The 16142-nt window shown below is 39.6% G+C and overlaps 1 long non-coding RNA gene across 1 annotated transcript in view, besides 1 other annotated feature; it reads left to right on the top strand.

Annotated features, from left to right (window-relative positions):
• PTCHD1-AS (PTCHD1 and PHEX antisense RNA) overlaps nucleotides 1-16142 on the top strand; it is a 1100142-nt gene that overhangs the window by 879195 nt on the left and 204805 nt on the right. The gene's annotated exons all lie outside the window — the stretch shown is intronic.
• Nucleotides 13133-14332: an enhancer, noted in NCBI's record as "CDK7 strongly-dependent group 2 enhancer chrX:22417737-22418936 (GRCh37/hg19 assembly coordinates)". NCBI's record gives its function as "activates an origin of replication core promoter dependent on BRD2, BRD4, P300/CBP, MED14 and CDK7 cofactors, with strong dependence on CDK7, by STARR-seq in HCT116 cells {active_cell/tissue: HCT116}" and the evidence as "EXISTENCE:reporter gene assay evidence [ECO:0000049][PMID:35650434]".

Below are 16142 nucleotides of genomic sequence, written 5' to 3'. Positions count from 1 at the left end.
TGAATAGTGCCCTACAGGTGAAAGTTCTAAGGCCATTCTCTCTCATGTTTTCCAAATGTTTGGTATCAGTGGATTAGTAGGCCACCAGACCTCAAAGCAAGGCGCTTCCTGCTGCATAACCAGAGTTAGGCTTCCTATTGTAATCCCCCAAACAAAGAAGCTTGCTTTAGAAAACACTGGTGGATTCCGAAATGTTGAAGTTAGGACATTCCCCCTAGTTGGTCTCAGCCTGGGCTTTACACAGTGACTTCAGAGGCACTTTTGGATACCTACCTAGTGCTAGTCATTGCACTACATGCTGGGGATACAGAGATCCTGGTTCTACCAATTATTGACAGTGTGACTTGAAACTTAGCTTTTTCAACCTCAAATTCCCATCTGTAAAATGAGAACAAGAATAGGACCTACCTCATGGGTGTGTTGTAAAGAGAAGATGAAATGATACAAGTAAAGCACCTAGTACTATGCCTGAGGAAAAGGCAATGCTCAAGGAATGTTTGTTTGCATAATTATAAAAAAAAAGTCAAGACCCTGCTCTCTTGGAGTTTCCAATTTAGTAGAAGAAAATGACATATAAATAATATGTATGATGTGAAAATTCATGGTAGAGATCTGTCCACAGGAAATTGGAATCACTAGAAGACCAGCAAATCTGCAGATAGAAAGGGTCATGGAGAAGTAGTATTGGTCTTCAGAATATGCTTTATTTTTCCTCTCCTCATCCCAAACTTCCACATCCCCATTTGTTACCCAGGTAATAAGCATAGTACCAGATAAAGGCATCCAATACTTTTAGGCATCCAGCACTTTTAGGATGTCACTTAACAATTACAGACTTACCCTCACCACACCAATGTAGCTGATCAGCATCTTTTGCTGAAGTTATTTCTCCATCTCTTTTCACCCAAAGAGAAATATTCTGTTCTCTATCCTATATCCTATTCTAAGATATCTTCCTTTGATATTTGAGGTGCTAGGGAGTGAAGGGAGAAGGGCAAATTAAGTTAAAAATTGAAATTAAAATTGTCCTAGATCATAGGATGACATGTCCAGAAGCCCCAGAAGCTGAGCTGGCAAGAAGAAAAATCAAGTGAGCCCTAAAGTAATGAGAAGTGTCTAATGCCAAAGCACAGAGGCAAACCCACCCAGAAGAGACTCCTACTCTCTAATGCGAAGAACAGACTTTATTTTGGCACACAAAAATTATTTTATATATATATATATATATATATATATATATATATGTGTGTGTGTGTATATATATATGTATATATATATATATGTATATATATATGTATATATATATATATGTATATATATATGTACATTTTTCTGTTTTTTGAAACAGGGTCTTGTTCACACAGGCTGGAGTGCAGTGGCATGATGATAGCTCACTGCAGCCTCCATTTCCCAGAGTCAAGCGATCCTCCCACCACAGCCTCCATTTCCCAGAGTCAAGTGATTCTCCCACCTCAGCCTCCTGAGTAGCTGGGACTACACATGTGGGCCAACATGCCTGGCTAATTTTTTGTATTTTTAGTACAGATGAGGTCTCACCATGTTTCCCAGGCTGGTCTGAAACTCCTGAGCTCAAGAAGTCCTCCTGCCTCAGCTTCCCAAAGTGCTACAATTACAGGTGTGAGCCGCTGTGCCCAACCCAATAATTATTTTTAACATATATTTATATATTAAACAAATTTTTATAATATATTCAACAGATATTTACCAACAAGGTACCAGTCACTGTGCTAGGCCTTGGAGGTCATGACCTCAAAAAACCCAGATATTTTCCCTATTCTTAATGACTTTGTTCATTAATTGGTGTGTTAGTTTTCTATTCTGCAGAACAAATTACCACAAACTCAGTGGCTTAAAACAAGATTCATTTGCTATCTCACAGTTTCTGTGGGTCAGGAGTGCAGGCACAATTTAACTTGGTCTTTTCCTTATTGTCTCACAAGGCTGCAATCAAGCTGTCAGCCAGAGCTGAATTCTCATCTGTAGGCTCAACTGAGAGTCCACATCCAAGCTCACTCAGGCCATTGGCAGAATTCATTTTCTTTTCTTTTTTTTTTTTCTTTTTTGAGACGGAGTCGAGCTTCATCGCGCAGGCTGGAGTGCAGTGGCGCAATCTTGCTCACTGCTGCATGCTGCAAGCTCTGCCTCCTGGGTTCACGCCATTCTCCTGCCTCAGCCTTCCGAGTAGCTGGGACTCCAGGCGCCCGCCACCACGCCTGGCTAATTTTTTGTATTTATTTTTATTTTTATTTTTTTTAGTAGAGATGGGGTTTCACCGTGTTAGCCAGGATGGTCTTGATCTCCTGACCTCGTGATCCGCCCGCCTCAGCCTCCTAAAGTGCTGGGATTACAGGCGTGAGCCGCTGCGCCCGGCCCAGGATTCATTTTCTTGCAGCTTTAGGAGTCATGGCATCTGGGTTCTTCAAAACCAGCAAGGAGAGTCCCTAGAGTGAGTCTAGTATTAAGACAGTGTTTTACATTATGCAACCCAGTCATTGGAGTGACATCCCATCATGTTTTTCATATTCCATCAGTAGGAACCAAGTCACAGATCCCAAGATCAAGAAGAAAAAAATATATAGGAGTGTCAACACCGGGAGATGGGGATCGTGGGGGGGGGGGGGCGCATTAAAGTCTGTCTGACACAGTTGGGGATAAAGACAAGTAAAGAGGCACTTACCAAAGGGTACGGTAAATGCTTTGATGATCTAGTACTGAATGCTATGTACGTAACCTTTACTGGGTGGGTGGGTGATAGTGGTTAAAGATTTCCTGGAGGAAGAACGATAAGATGAGATGTGTACAAGTTTGCCATGTGTGCTTTGGGGTGTGGTGAGTGTTCCAGGCAGAGAGCCTGAGAAAATGAAAAACACTCCATAAGTTAAAAAACAGGTGCATATGGCCAAACCACATTTCACTTTCTTTTGTATCCTATGAATTGTTGATATCTCACCAAGAGAAAATTCTCCATCATGAGCACAGGGTCAGACTCAATAAATGTAAGTACTTTCTCAATATTTAAAGGGGAAGTCTTTTAATATTATGTTCCTCAGTTTTAGGGAAAAATGCATACAGTGTATCTTGAAGAGAAAATACTTTCATTTTATAAACTCCCATCATTATTTAAAATAGTGATACGCTAAGACTGTGGTACATTCTTGGCACTTAATGATCCCAGCTCAGATCTCAGTTCTTTGTCAGTCTCTGAAATAATTATCTTCTGAAAAGAAAGGCCCCATGGGTGAGGGAGCACCAGCTGTTGAATGCTCACTGCTACATGCCAAGAGAACAGCCAGTTGCCCAACTAAAATAGGTATCTAAGCCAGGTGGAATTGTTTATTCTAATTTGTTTATTCAAATTGGAATGTGGCCAATTAGTTTTGTGAAATGTGATTGCAAGACCACATCCTCTTCTATGGTACTTATACTGAACCTCCACTTTAAGAAGGCCCCTGTAACATGAGGACTATAGCTAATGATAGTGTATTATAATCAGAATTTTTGCTGAGTAGATTGTAGCAGTCTTGCCTCACACAGACAAAAATAATGGGTAAACGTGAGATGATGGGTATGTTAATTTGCTTTACTATAGTAATCATTTGACTATCTATATCTCATAACATCATGCTGCATACATTAAAAATACACAATAGGCCAAACGCGGTGGCTCACGCCTGTAATCCCAGGACTTTGGGAGGCCGAGGTGGACGGATTACGAGGTCAGGAGATCAAGACCATCCTGGCTAACACGGTGAAACCCCGTCTCTACTAAAAATACAAAAAATTAGCCGGGCGTGGTGGCGGGTGCCTGTAATCCCAGCTACTTGGGAGACCGGGGCAGGAGAATGGTGTGAACCTGTGAGGCGGAGCTGGCGGTGAGCCAAGATCGCGCCACTGCACTCCATCTTGGGTGACAGAGCGAGACTAACACTTATTTGTTGTAAAAAGGAAGACCCCTGGATTTTATCCTCTGCTCAATTCCTAATGGTGCTCAGAATTCTCAGCCATACTTAACATCAACTCTAGACAAATCTATAAAATGGAGCCTGAGAGCACAGTTTATTGAGCTAGATTATAGTTAAAGCAAAATTTATATTAAATCATTTTTAAAGAATAAATTCTAGTATTCACATTCCTATAATATCTAAATGGATCCATAAGGATGCCTTCTGGTAAGAGAAATAAATTCTTACCTAAACAGGCTAAAACACTAAGGAGAATTTGGTGGCTTGTGTAACTGAGAAGACCATAGATAGTGTCAGTTTCAGATACAGTTTGATCACGCCTGTGGCTCTACTTCTCTCCTAAATTTAAGGTAAATGTTTCAGGTCTGCCTGTCCTCTTTTTCAGGCTGAGTCAAAGGGTGATTTCCAGTAACAATCAAAATCACATGTTTCTTTGTTTACATCTGACAGAAAGCTACCTTCAACCACTCCACAAAAACTTTGACCACTGAGCTAAAAAGATCACATGTAAACTAATCCCTGTGGCCAGGGGAGTATCATTTGTTAGCTGATTTCATCCTAGGTTTTGCAAAGGAATATAGTTGTATACTTCCATCTGTGGTGTGAGGACCCAAGTCCTTTAGCTCGCGTCTGGGTCTAACAGACTACTCAGCACCTGCATCTCAACATGGTTGTCTTTTCTTTACTCAACATTGTATTCATATTTATGAATGCTAGGGGTGCCAGAAAGTGTGCTGAGATGCATAGGGAATGTCAAGGGCTCACTCTTTGGGCATCACTATTGGACAACTCAGTCCCAAAGCACCCCAAATCAAAATTGCAGGTCATTTGCCAAACCCCAGAACTCTGGTGACTCAACCCCACAGATATAGCCCCCAAATTTCCCGGAAAATTAAACTCCTACTTATAGCAATTCCAGGGCAGGAGGAATGCTCTCACTTAGACCAACAGACTATAACTGACCAGCTTATAGAATAATCTTGGAATTTTATTTAATCATGGCATTTCAAGATTCCTTTACACAATATTCTTTTTGCCCCTCAAATTTTTCAGGCCTTCACATCTCTCAAGATATCAAACATGATACTTTTAGGAGCCAACCAAGTTATACATAATGCATTTTTATGTTCCTAAATTAACAAAGTGACTTTAGATCTGTGAAGGGTGTTAAAAATTATATAAGCTATGTAAGTATTTTTATTTGTTCAAACATTTCCAGTTTCCTTCAGGGTTTAAAAGTTTCAGAGAACTTTATATTTCTAAGTAGGCCCAGATTGTTATGTATGGAAAAAAGGTACCCTAAAAACATGTCCATTTTTTCTAAGGAGACTCACAGCTGGCTTATTTTTTGCGTCTTCCAGAATACTAAACAATAATTTGGGTGTGTCTATCCCCAAATCAGAGAGTACCTAGATCTTTTGCTTAGTTCTAATCATCATTCACTGAGGTCAAGCAGACCCTGAGATGAGGATTTGAGTGTATGTAGTTTACTTGAGAGGTGATCCCAGGAAACACCAGTAGAAGAGAAGGGCAGTGAAACTAAAAGAAGCAGCTGCCAATCCAAGGCGTGTTATCAGTAAGCAAGTGTCTGCCATGAGCTCTTGAAGCTTGATCCTGCTGGGGACTTCGGAAAGAGTGCATAGAATAATCCTCAGTGTTGTATCATATGAGGGACAAGAAGACGGGGTGTTTACTCTTCAAATCCCTTCCATCATTGTTTGGGGGGGGGCCTGTCCCAAAGGGAGCATTAACTCCTGAATATTTCTGCTTTGTGCACACAAAGCCCCCGCTCTGGGAAAAAAAAAAAAAACCATGAGCAGAAAGTCACAAGTGCCCACAGAAGGATGCTCATAGCAAGCACTGATCCAGTGAGCAGTGAAATACAGGGGCACCAATATATTTGCAACAATGCCTAAGGCCGAAGAATTAATATATACTTCTTGACAATAGTCATAAGTATCACTGATTATTTTTGGGTTTTACCCTAAAAAATACTGCATTCAATGAAATTCCAATTCCTTGGGACTTACTGAAATTGTTTATTTCCATAGCAAGGCATCATGACAGAGCAAAAAGCCCTGAGTTTGGAATGAGCAGAGCTGACTTCTGGCCCACACTCTGTGGCCTTACATACAGTCATTCAGAAGTCTCAGATTCTTCAATGTAAACTGAGGTCTTGAGGTAATGATAATAGAAAAGACATATATGGCCTTATTACACATAAGGCACCATTCTGAGTGCTTTACAGATATTAACTCATATAAACTTCATGACACTCAATGAGATGAGGACTATTATTCCTCTTACCATTTTACAGAGAAGAAAACTCAGGCACAAGGTGGTTGGATAATTTGAATGAGGTGACACAGGTAGTAAGTGGTAGAACCAGGATAGGAACTGAAGTAGTCTGGTTCCAAAGCTGCGACCCTAAACCACTACCAGCCTTCCTCATAATGCAGTAATCTCTAGGTCCCTTTCATTACTAGTGATCTGTAATCTTTGACCTCTAATAAAGTCAGGCAAGATAATGGTATATTGATCTGTCATATGTTTTGACTTCTGTTGCTTGACACAAGCCCAGCTTGTGTCATTCATCTTGTAAAATAATTTACAAGATGTGTTTATACAAGCTAGGAATAAGCAGAAAACATCATGTACCCAACAGGTCCTAATATGTCCCCTCCTGAAGTGGCAGTCTATGTCTGCCCTAAGGAAAGATGTGACTTAAATTCTTTCCTTAAGAAAATTAATTGTCATGTATTTCCAGTACCCTTGCAAATATTTCACCAACTGTGGAAGCTTTAGACCATCAAAAGCTGGTCTTCTGACAGTTTTATTACTAGAGTGTATCCTTTCCAAATTTAACCTACATTTGTTCAAGTAAGATGCCAATGAACTAGTCATCGTCGGTATCAAGCTGGAATTTTCAATTTCTCCTGAAGAGTAGCATGGATCAGCTGAGGTAATCATGAAAGGCCAATTTTTATCATGTCTAAAAGCCTGATCCAAAAATAACTCAAAATATCACTTTTAGGTACCTGAAAGTTCCCCTTAGAAATCATATTATTGTGATGAAAGTGATTTAATTCATTTATAAAACAGATCACATACTCTTTTGAGCCTTTAGAGGAAAATTTGTCATTAGACATGGATTTTTCTCTTACATAAGAGAAAAAGAAAAAAAAATCATGGGGCGGGAAGGAGGTGAGAGAGGAAGAAAGGGACCAATGTTGCTATAAAATGTAAGTGATAGTCATTATAAATAGTAAGAGGAATATGAAGTGGAATATGCCTTTGACATTCTTTAAAGCTTCTAGACATTCTGCCCACCCTTTTGAGCAAGAATTCACTTGGTTCTTTGCTAACTTTACACTGAGATTTGTCACTATGAACAGCAACTAAGGATGTGACTCCGGCTGTGATAATATATGACTCAAGCACACCCCTTGGCACGTACATTGGTCTCTTATCGGATGACCTGCCTGACTTTGACAGCCTTCTCTGTTTCAGGACAATTTGCAGGATGGAATTTAAGCATAACCGGTCCTAATTCCTTTTATCCCTAGAGGCTCCTAAGCCAGCAGTCTTGGAATGGACCATGCCTGGCAATTCTCACATTTCTCTTATCACTGAGACTACTTTTCATGTTCCCTTTGATACTACTTGAAAATATTCTCACCTTGACCCGCAATAGAAATGAAATCCCCATATATATCTTGACCTCTTCTTGTGTCAACCCTTGCAGTACTCCCTCTTAAGACCTTTCTAAATCCCTCTTGAACATAGAATTCTATTTATTGTAGCCACCGAAAACTCTCACTCCTCCTCTCAACTACAGTTATCCTGATCATTTTTTAAAAACCCAGTTGTTGGTTTTTTTCATAAATTCAGTATGTATTTCTCCCTGTAGCTCAGAATCAAATCTGGCTAACGAAGAACCTAACTTTGATCCCCCTCTTTCCCATACCACTAATTGAGCATGTTTTGTATATGACTTTTGCTTGGAAGATGCCTTGAAAGGAGTCTTTTTGCAAATTGAAAAAAGCATGAATGTTGGGATTGGATAAACTTGGACTCTAATCCCAGCTGTATCACTTACTTGCTATATAACTTTAAGCAAGTTACTTACCCTTCCCTAAACTGTATCCTTATTTACAGAATGAGGATAAGTACCTCCTCGTAGGATTGTTGTGAGAATTAAATGAGATAACCTACAGAAAGTATCTGTCAATGGAACATACTTAATATAAGGTAGCTTCCTTTCATTACCCTTGACTAAATGATTTAAATAATTCTGTTGAATAGCGAAGGAACTGATTCAACATCGCACTGAGATGCCAAATTGCAAATCCCGCAAGACAACAATCCCCACTAATCAAGTCAAGTGCAAATAGGTGGGCCTTAAAACAGTTGTTACCAAGTATTTACTGATGGTTCACTATCTACTCAACATTGTACTGATGCTACAGGGAAAACCAAATCAATATAAAACATGGCCTACTTGTAGCAGAAGGAGCTAATAATCTAGGCAGATTAAATGTCATTCAGGCATGCCTTTTAGATAGCATTTCTCAAACCTGGAAGATCTTCAGACTGATCTGGTTTGCATATTAAATATATATTTCAGAAGGATAGGTTCCAGAAACCTATATTTATGACAAGCATCTAGGTAATTCTAATATTCACCCAGGTTTGAGAGGCTCACTTCTTTTAAAGATGCCTCATTACTGCACAAATTAATTCATGTCAAGTCGCATCACAACTGTGTTAAAAAGTCCAGAGAGGCGTACTTGTCTGAACATTAATAAATATGCTCATTTCTCAGCATCACTGTTTTCTGAGGGTTCCACTGTATCTGAATTAACTTTTGAATTTTTGTTTTAAATTTTAAAGTAATTTTGCAGGTTCTGGACAACGGATCTGAAGCAAATTATTCTAAATAAAGTAAAATTAAACATAATAGAATCTTTGCAGAAGGCTCTCAATGACAGAACTAAATTTATCAATGAAAGAATAATTTACAACTAACATAAACAATGATGCATCAGGAAATGTATTAATGCAAACTGTGCCAAAATCTTCATACAGTTCCCCATCCAATGCAACTTGCCCAAATTCCTGAAACCTCTTCCTGTAGGTTAGATGGATCCCATTTGTCAAGCGCGTCCTTATGAAGAGACCACCAACAGGCTTTGTGTGAGCAACAAGGCTGTTTATTTCACTTGGGTGCAAGTGGGCTGAGTCCAAAGAGAGAGTCAGCGAAGGGAGATGGGGAAGGGGTTGCTTTATAGGAGTTGGGTAGGTAATGGAAAATTACAGTAAAAGGCGGTTATCTATTGTTGGCAGAGGAGGAGGTCACAAGGTGCGCGGTGGGGAGATCATAAGACTCATTGTCCAGAAGAAGGATGTCACCAAGTCACTGATCAAAGTATGGCAGGGTCAAGCCACAATAGTAGAATGGTGTAATGTTGGTTCATTAGTTAAGGCAGAAACTGGCTGTTTTACTTCTTTGTGGTTTTTGGCTGCCCCAGACTTCTTGGTTCCTGCAGGCCATCTGGACACATACATGCAGGTCACAGGGGTTACAATGGCTGAGCTTCAACTCAGAGGCCTGACACCATTTTATACACAGTATGTTCAAAAGCAAAGCATTGCAATTAGATACTGCATAATGTTCTCGTAATGTATGGGATATTTTTACCAGGAACAATGAAAGTATTCAGAAGAGGACAATAATAAAAGAATATTAAATATATTAGTAGATATCACAAATTCTTTTTTTTTTTTTTCCTTGAGACAGAGTCTCACTCTGTCGCCCAGGCTGGAGTGGGCGATCTCAGCTCACTGCAACCTCTGCCTCCTGGGTTCAAACAATTCTTGTGCCTCAGCCTCCTGAGTAGCTGGGATTACAGGTATGCGCGCCACCACACCCAGCTATTTTTTTTTTTTTTTGTATTTTTGTATTTTTAATAGAGATGGGGTGTCACTATGTTGGCCAGGCTGGTCTCGAACTCCTGGCTTCAAGTAACCCACCCGCCTTAGCCTCCCAAAGCGCTGGGATTACAGGCATGAGCCAGCGCACCTGGCCTGGGTATCATAAATTCTGATTCGTAAAGACATACATTCTAATGAATTTTTTTTAATTTCAAAAAAGGCATTTCTATTTTTTATTATTTGTGCCTTATCCACAAATACAAAAACAAAATATCTACAAGCTTCACTCATTCACTGGTGTCATTAAACCAACATTTATTGATTAAATATTGGCAGGGCATGGTGGCTTATGTCTGTAATCCAGGCATTTGGGGCGGCAGAGGTGTGCAGATTGCTTGAGCTCAGGAGTTTGAGACCAGCCTAGGCAGCGTGGTGACACTCCATCTCTACCAAAAATACAAATATATATATATAAGCTGGGTGTGGTGGCATGCATCTGTGATCCCAGCTACTTGGGAGCCTGAGGTGGGACGATCGTTTGAGCCTGAGAGGCAGAGGTTGCACTGAGCCGAGACCGTGCCACTGCACTCCAGCCTGAATGACAGAGTAAGGCTCCATCTCAAAAAAAAAAAAAAAACTGTGGACACTGGTTGTTACAGATGCTTTAAGTGTCCCCATCCGCCCCCTCCTTTGTTCTTGTCACAGCCTTCCTTACACAATATTGGCTTTCTTCGGAAACTACTTGACTTTCCACCTTAGGGTTTTTTTCAGGCTACGCTGGAGTACAGGGCAGGCCCACATGCCAGGAACTAATGCTCCAGGGAGCAGCCCTCAATCCCTTCAATAAATGAAGGATGGGAGTTGGTAGGTAAACATTCCAGCTTCCTCACCCTGTGGTAGAACAAGTCTGAGAAAAGTTCTAGTTTCCCAGAATTATAGTTTCCCAGAAGTCCCCAGGAGAAGTGAACCCCAGTTGCCCACAGCAGTAACATGCTTATTAACACATTTTGCACTGTCTTCCTTCCCTTCCTTGTCTCAGTTCCCACTTCCTCATAGAGCTTCTTGGAACCCCCTTCTAAATAACAGACTTGCATTCAAAGCCTTGCCTCTGTGTTTGCTATGGGGAGAACCCAGACTAAGACACTGAATATAGGACAATAAAAAAGTCAGTCATGCCTTTAAGATGCTCAGATAAAGTCTGAGAGAAAGATTCGAACAATATAGGGACTGATAAGGGCTGTGTGCTAATATAAAATATATCCAGACAAGTAGAAGGAATGAGTCTTTGTGGGAGTTAAGGAGGGCCTCACAAATGAGGTAAACATTTTAGCTGTCTGATATGGCTTGGCTGTGTTCTCACTCAAATCTCATCTTGAATTCTACATGTTGTGGAAGGGACCTGGTGGGAGGTAACTGAATCATAGGGGCAGGTCTTTCCCTTGCTGTTCTTGTGATAGTGAATAAGTCTCATGAGATCTGATGGTTCTATAAGAGGGAATTTCCCTGCACAAGCTCTCTTTTTGCCTGTTGCCATCCATGTAAGACGTGACTTGCTCCTCCTTCTGCCATGATTATGAGGCTTCCCCAGCCACATGGAACTGTAAGTCCATAAAACCTCTTTCTTTTATAAATTGCCCAGTCACAGGTATGTCTTTATCAGCAGCATGAAAACGGACTAATACACTGTCAAAAAGTATGAGGAGAAGTTTTATATCTATATAAGAAGAGAATTAGCATTTCAGACAATGGGATGTGCAAAGCACAGTACCCCTACAACTTTTCTCTCCCACCTCACCTCGTAACACACACACACGCACACACATACACACACACACACACACACACACACACAATCCTTGGTTTTGTATACTTGGAGTGAAGAATACACTGAAAAGAAATGTGGAAGATGAAACTATAAAAGGAATTTGTCACTTGGTAACTGGTCTCCCAAGATGGCCTCCAGTCAGTCCTGCCTCCCCATAACCCATCTTTTGTGTAGTCCTCTCCCACAGTGAATCTAGGCTAGCTTAATTATTCCTTTGTAGCCAGTAAAATGCAATGGAAGTGACCTGTGCAGCTCAGGCTTTCAGCTTTAAGAAGACCTAGATTCTTGGGTTTTACACTTTTGGCAGCCCTAAAATACTACATAAGGAGTTTTGTTAACCTGCTGAAGATACCACATAGAGAGGTTGAGTAAGGAGAGACCCTAAAGTCCTAGGGTCTCTGCTGAGTGTAACCATCCAAGCCAAGATGCCAAATATATGAGTTCAGTCATATTGGTTATTCCAGCCCCAGTTGCCATATGACTTGAGAGATCCCAGGAGAAACCGGTAGAATCATCCAACCCACAGAATTGTGAGAAATAATTAAAAGGTTGTTATTTAAAGCCACTAAGGTTTGGATTTGCTTCCTATACCACAATAGAGAACCAAAACAGTTGCCAAAATGTAAAGGATCTTGAAAGCCATAATGAGAAGTCAGCTCTTAATTATGAACAAAAGAAATTAACAAAGCAGCAATCCTGATAAGGGTTTAATGAAATAGCCTTGGAGACAGAGAATGAGGATCTGAAGAGGGAAACCAACATTTATCAAGGATTCATTATGTTCTAAATACTTTGACACTCTTATCTCATTCATCACAAAGACACTATGAATCCCCAATTTATAGATATAGAAATTGAGAATCAATTTCACCCCAGGTCAAGCTCACCCCAGGTCACAGTGTTAGACCCAAGACTAAGCCCAAGGCTAACTGGTCCCAAAAGCCTTGTTATTTTCATTACTACACCATGATACCTCCAACAAAAGTAGGAGGGAGAGATATTTAGGAAGTAGGATTCACAAATGTGATGAATGCCTGGGATGTGTCCGGGTCGTGGAGACCATTCAGCAGTGATACTGGCTTCTACTCTAGAGGATGGATTATTATAAAAAGGTACATGGTTGCATGGTATAGAATTAAAAGTAAAGAATCAGGTAGAAAGTAATTGATTTTTCATATAAAGGAGTAAAATGAATATGGTGACATATTTGAGTTTTGCATTTGAATAGTTTTTGCAAAACTGATGGTAATATAAAGACATGAAAATAAGAAATTCCAAAACATCACACATGGGAAGGACTCGAAATATTCTCAACTCAGCCCTCCAGATTTCAGGTCAGAGGCTGCCTTATTACAAGCTCTCTGAAGTTGTATCCTTCAGCCTTTATCCTAGGGCTAGGAGAACTTACTTACCTCAAGAACCATTGAAAGAAAATATTTATCTCCTTCACTTTCCAAAGGGCAGGTTTTTTAGTCTATCAGAATTAGAAAGGAAGAGTTCAGCAACATATTTTTAAGAAATACAACACCACCATAGTATATTAATACCATTTTTCAAGGGCTGAAAAATAAAGTTATAAAAATGAAAACTATATTCACCAGGAAATCATTATCCACACATTCATCCGTTCTGAAGCACCAGAGGCAGGATAGAGAATATTCCTGTGAGGGCCATGGACACTCAGAAGGCAAAAAAATAAAAGCTTTCGTTAGAAGCAGTAACTTTATTTTTATTGTGTTTTAGAATGAAATGAAGATTACATATTCCACTCCTGTGCTTTAAAAATTAGCAAAAGGGAGCACAAAATACTATCCAAATATAAAATTCTATCTCTCTTGTATATTACAGCAGGTTAAGAAATAAAAGGCAAGAAATTATAAGAGAAATTAGAGAACTAAAGACAGGCAGGAAGAAGAAGAAAAAAGGATCAGAGATATAGATGGAAAAGAGTTAGACAATAAAATACAGGGATCAAGATGGAGAAAGGCATACAGAGAGAATCAGAAAATGTATGTCATCTACTTCTGCACAACAAATCATGCCAAAATGTAGTGGTACAGATCAACTGCAATCATTTATTTTACTCATGAATTTGCAGTTTGGGAAGGGCTCAGCAAGGACAACTCATCTCTCCTCTATTCACTGTTGCTTGGGAAAGTTCAAAGTATGATGATGACTCAGTAGCTGGGGGCTGGAATCATCTGAAGTCTTGCTCACTCACATGTCTGGTTGTTGATGCTGGCTATCAGCTGGAACCCTTACACATGACCTCTCCACGTGAGCTGGGATTCTTCACAGCATTGTGACTGGCTCCCAAGAGCACATGCCCCAAGAAGGCCAGATGGGCATATCACCTTTAATAACGTAGCTTAAAAAGTCATATAATATCACTTTTACCATAGTAACAAGTCCATTAAGATTTGAAAAAAGGGACCATAAACCTCATCTCTCCGTGGAAGAAACGCAAACATTACATTGTAGATAAGTGTGCAGGATGGGAGATATTTTTTGGTCATCTTAGAAAATTCAATCTGCCACAGAGCATATGAGGGACACACCCACAAAATGACTCATAGAAATACATAGAAACCTTTGTAAAGACTCAAACACAACCATTTACATATAACTGACATAAAAAGATGTGAAGAAACACACACCAAGAGAAAAGTAAGAGGAACACACCAAGTAAGATGAATACCTAAAGAGGCCCAGCCTTGCCTAGATCACTGTCATCAACTTTGGGCTTTTTACTCCATTGTTACCAAAGATTTTCAAAACACTTTTACCTTTTTTCTAACTGTAGACACAAATGTACCTCTCTCCACTAGGTGTTTTTACTAAAGGATAATGGACTCCAGTCAAGCCAAGGATTGAATGCAACCCATAAGCTCGTTGTTATTCTCTGCATAAATATGTTAAAAACAACATTTGAAGGAACAATAAATAGTTGTGCAATGAATACAGAAAATAAAGTAAGTTAACCCAGGGGTTTTTTTTTTTTTAATTCCACAGCCCATGAACTCTCTAATACACCAGGTTGCCTATTATAGAATCAAAGGAATGTCGTTCCCTAGAATATAGCCCCTGGAAAAGTAAGTGTAAAATAAAGTCTTTCAGGGTGACATTATGCTCCAGTCAGAATTAACTTTCTGTTACCCAAACACACCACACTCTGTTAGTATGATGTGATGGGCTGAATTTTCCAAAGATGGCTACAACATCTTCCATCCTACACATTCTTCTGATATATGACCTTGCCACTACCCCATTGAGGGATGGAATCTAATTCCCACCTTGAATATGGGCTGTCTTTAGTGACTTTCTTCCAATAATAGAAGTAGATGAAGTAATGCTATGTGACTTCCAAGGGTAGATCAGAGGAAGCCTTGCAGTTTCTTCCTTAAATTTGTGAAATGATCACTCACTGAATGCTCTTTCTTGGGATGCTCTCTCTTGGATGTTCTCTCTTGGAACCCCAGTCACTTTTCTCTGGGAAGTACAAGCCACATGAAGAAGCCATTTGTAAGATCTCTATTCAACAGTCCTGCTGAGCCCAGCCATTGAGTCATCACAGATATGTAAGGCAAGAATCTACCAGATGATTCCAGCCACCAGTTCTTAAGCCAGTTGAGTCTTTCCTGATGAAAACCCAGACATTTTAGAAAAATATAACATTCTCCCTATAATGCCCTGCCCCAATTCCTGACCCATAGAATCCATAACTGTAAATAGAAGAGTGTTGTTTTGTACCACGGAATATTGGGGAGGTGAGGTTTGTTATATGGTAATAGATAATCAAAACATGTACTTAGCAAATACTCTTCCCCCTTCCCTGCCTAGCTGCCTCCTATTCATATTTTATGTCTTATTTTACCCACTATTTCATCCAGCTCCAATACAAGTAAAAACCAATGGGCTTGCAATGCTAATACAATTTTAAAATAAGTCTCTACCCATTCTCTTCTGATCAGATGACCCTCTCTTTAGCAACTCTGGAGCCACTGCTGTTCCTACACCTACCCATAAGGAAAATCGAGGGTTTAATAACTATGATTAACATGAAAGGACTCCAATGGAAAAAGTAGACCACATTCAAGAACACTTGAGTAATATAAACAGAGATGGACATTCTAAGAAAAAATTTAAAAATACTAGAAATCAAAAACACTGTAATATAAATAAATAATGCCTTTGATGGGCTCATCAGTAGACTGGACACAGCCAAGAAAAAAATCAGTGAGTTTGATGATATGTCAATAGAAACTTCTAAAACTGAAATGCAAGCAGAAAAAAGACTGAAAAAATAGAGCATAATATCAAGAACTATGGAACAATTACGTTACACTTTGGATATAATAGCATTCTTTCTCACCCATTATCCATATTTGTCAAGAAGTTAA

The sequence above is a fragment of the Homo sapiens genome, chromosome X (genome assembly GCF_000001405.40).
Source record: "Homo sapiens chromosome X, GRCh38.p14 Primary Assembly".
Taxonomy (NCBI): domain Eukaryota; kingdom Metazoa; phylum Chordata; class Mammalia; order Primates; family Hominidae; genus Homo; species Homo sapiens.
This window is presented reverse-complemented; position numbering and strand designations above follow the sequence as displayed.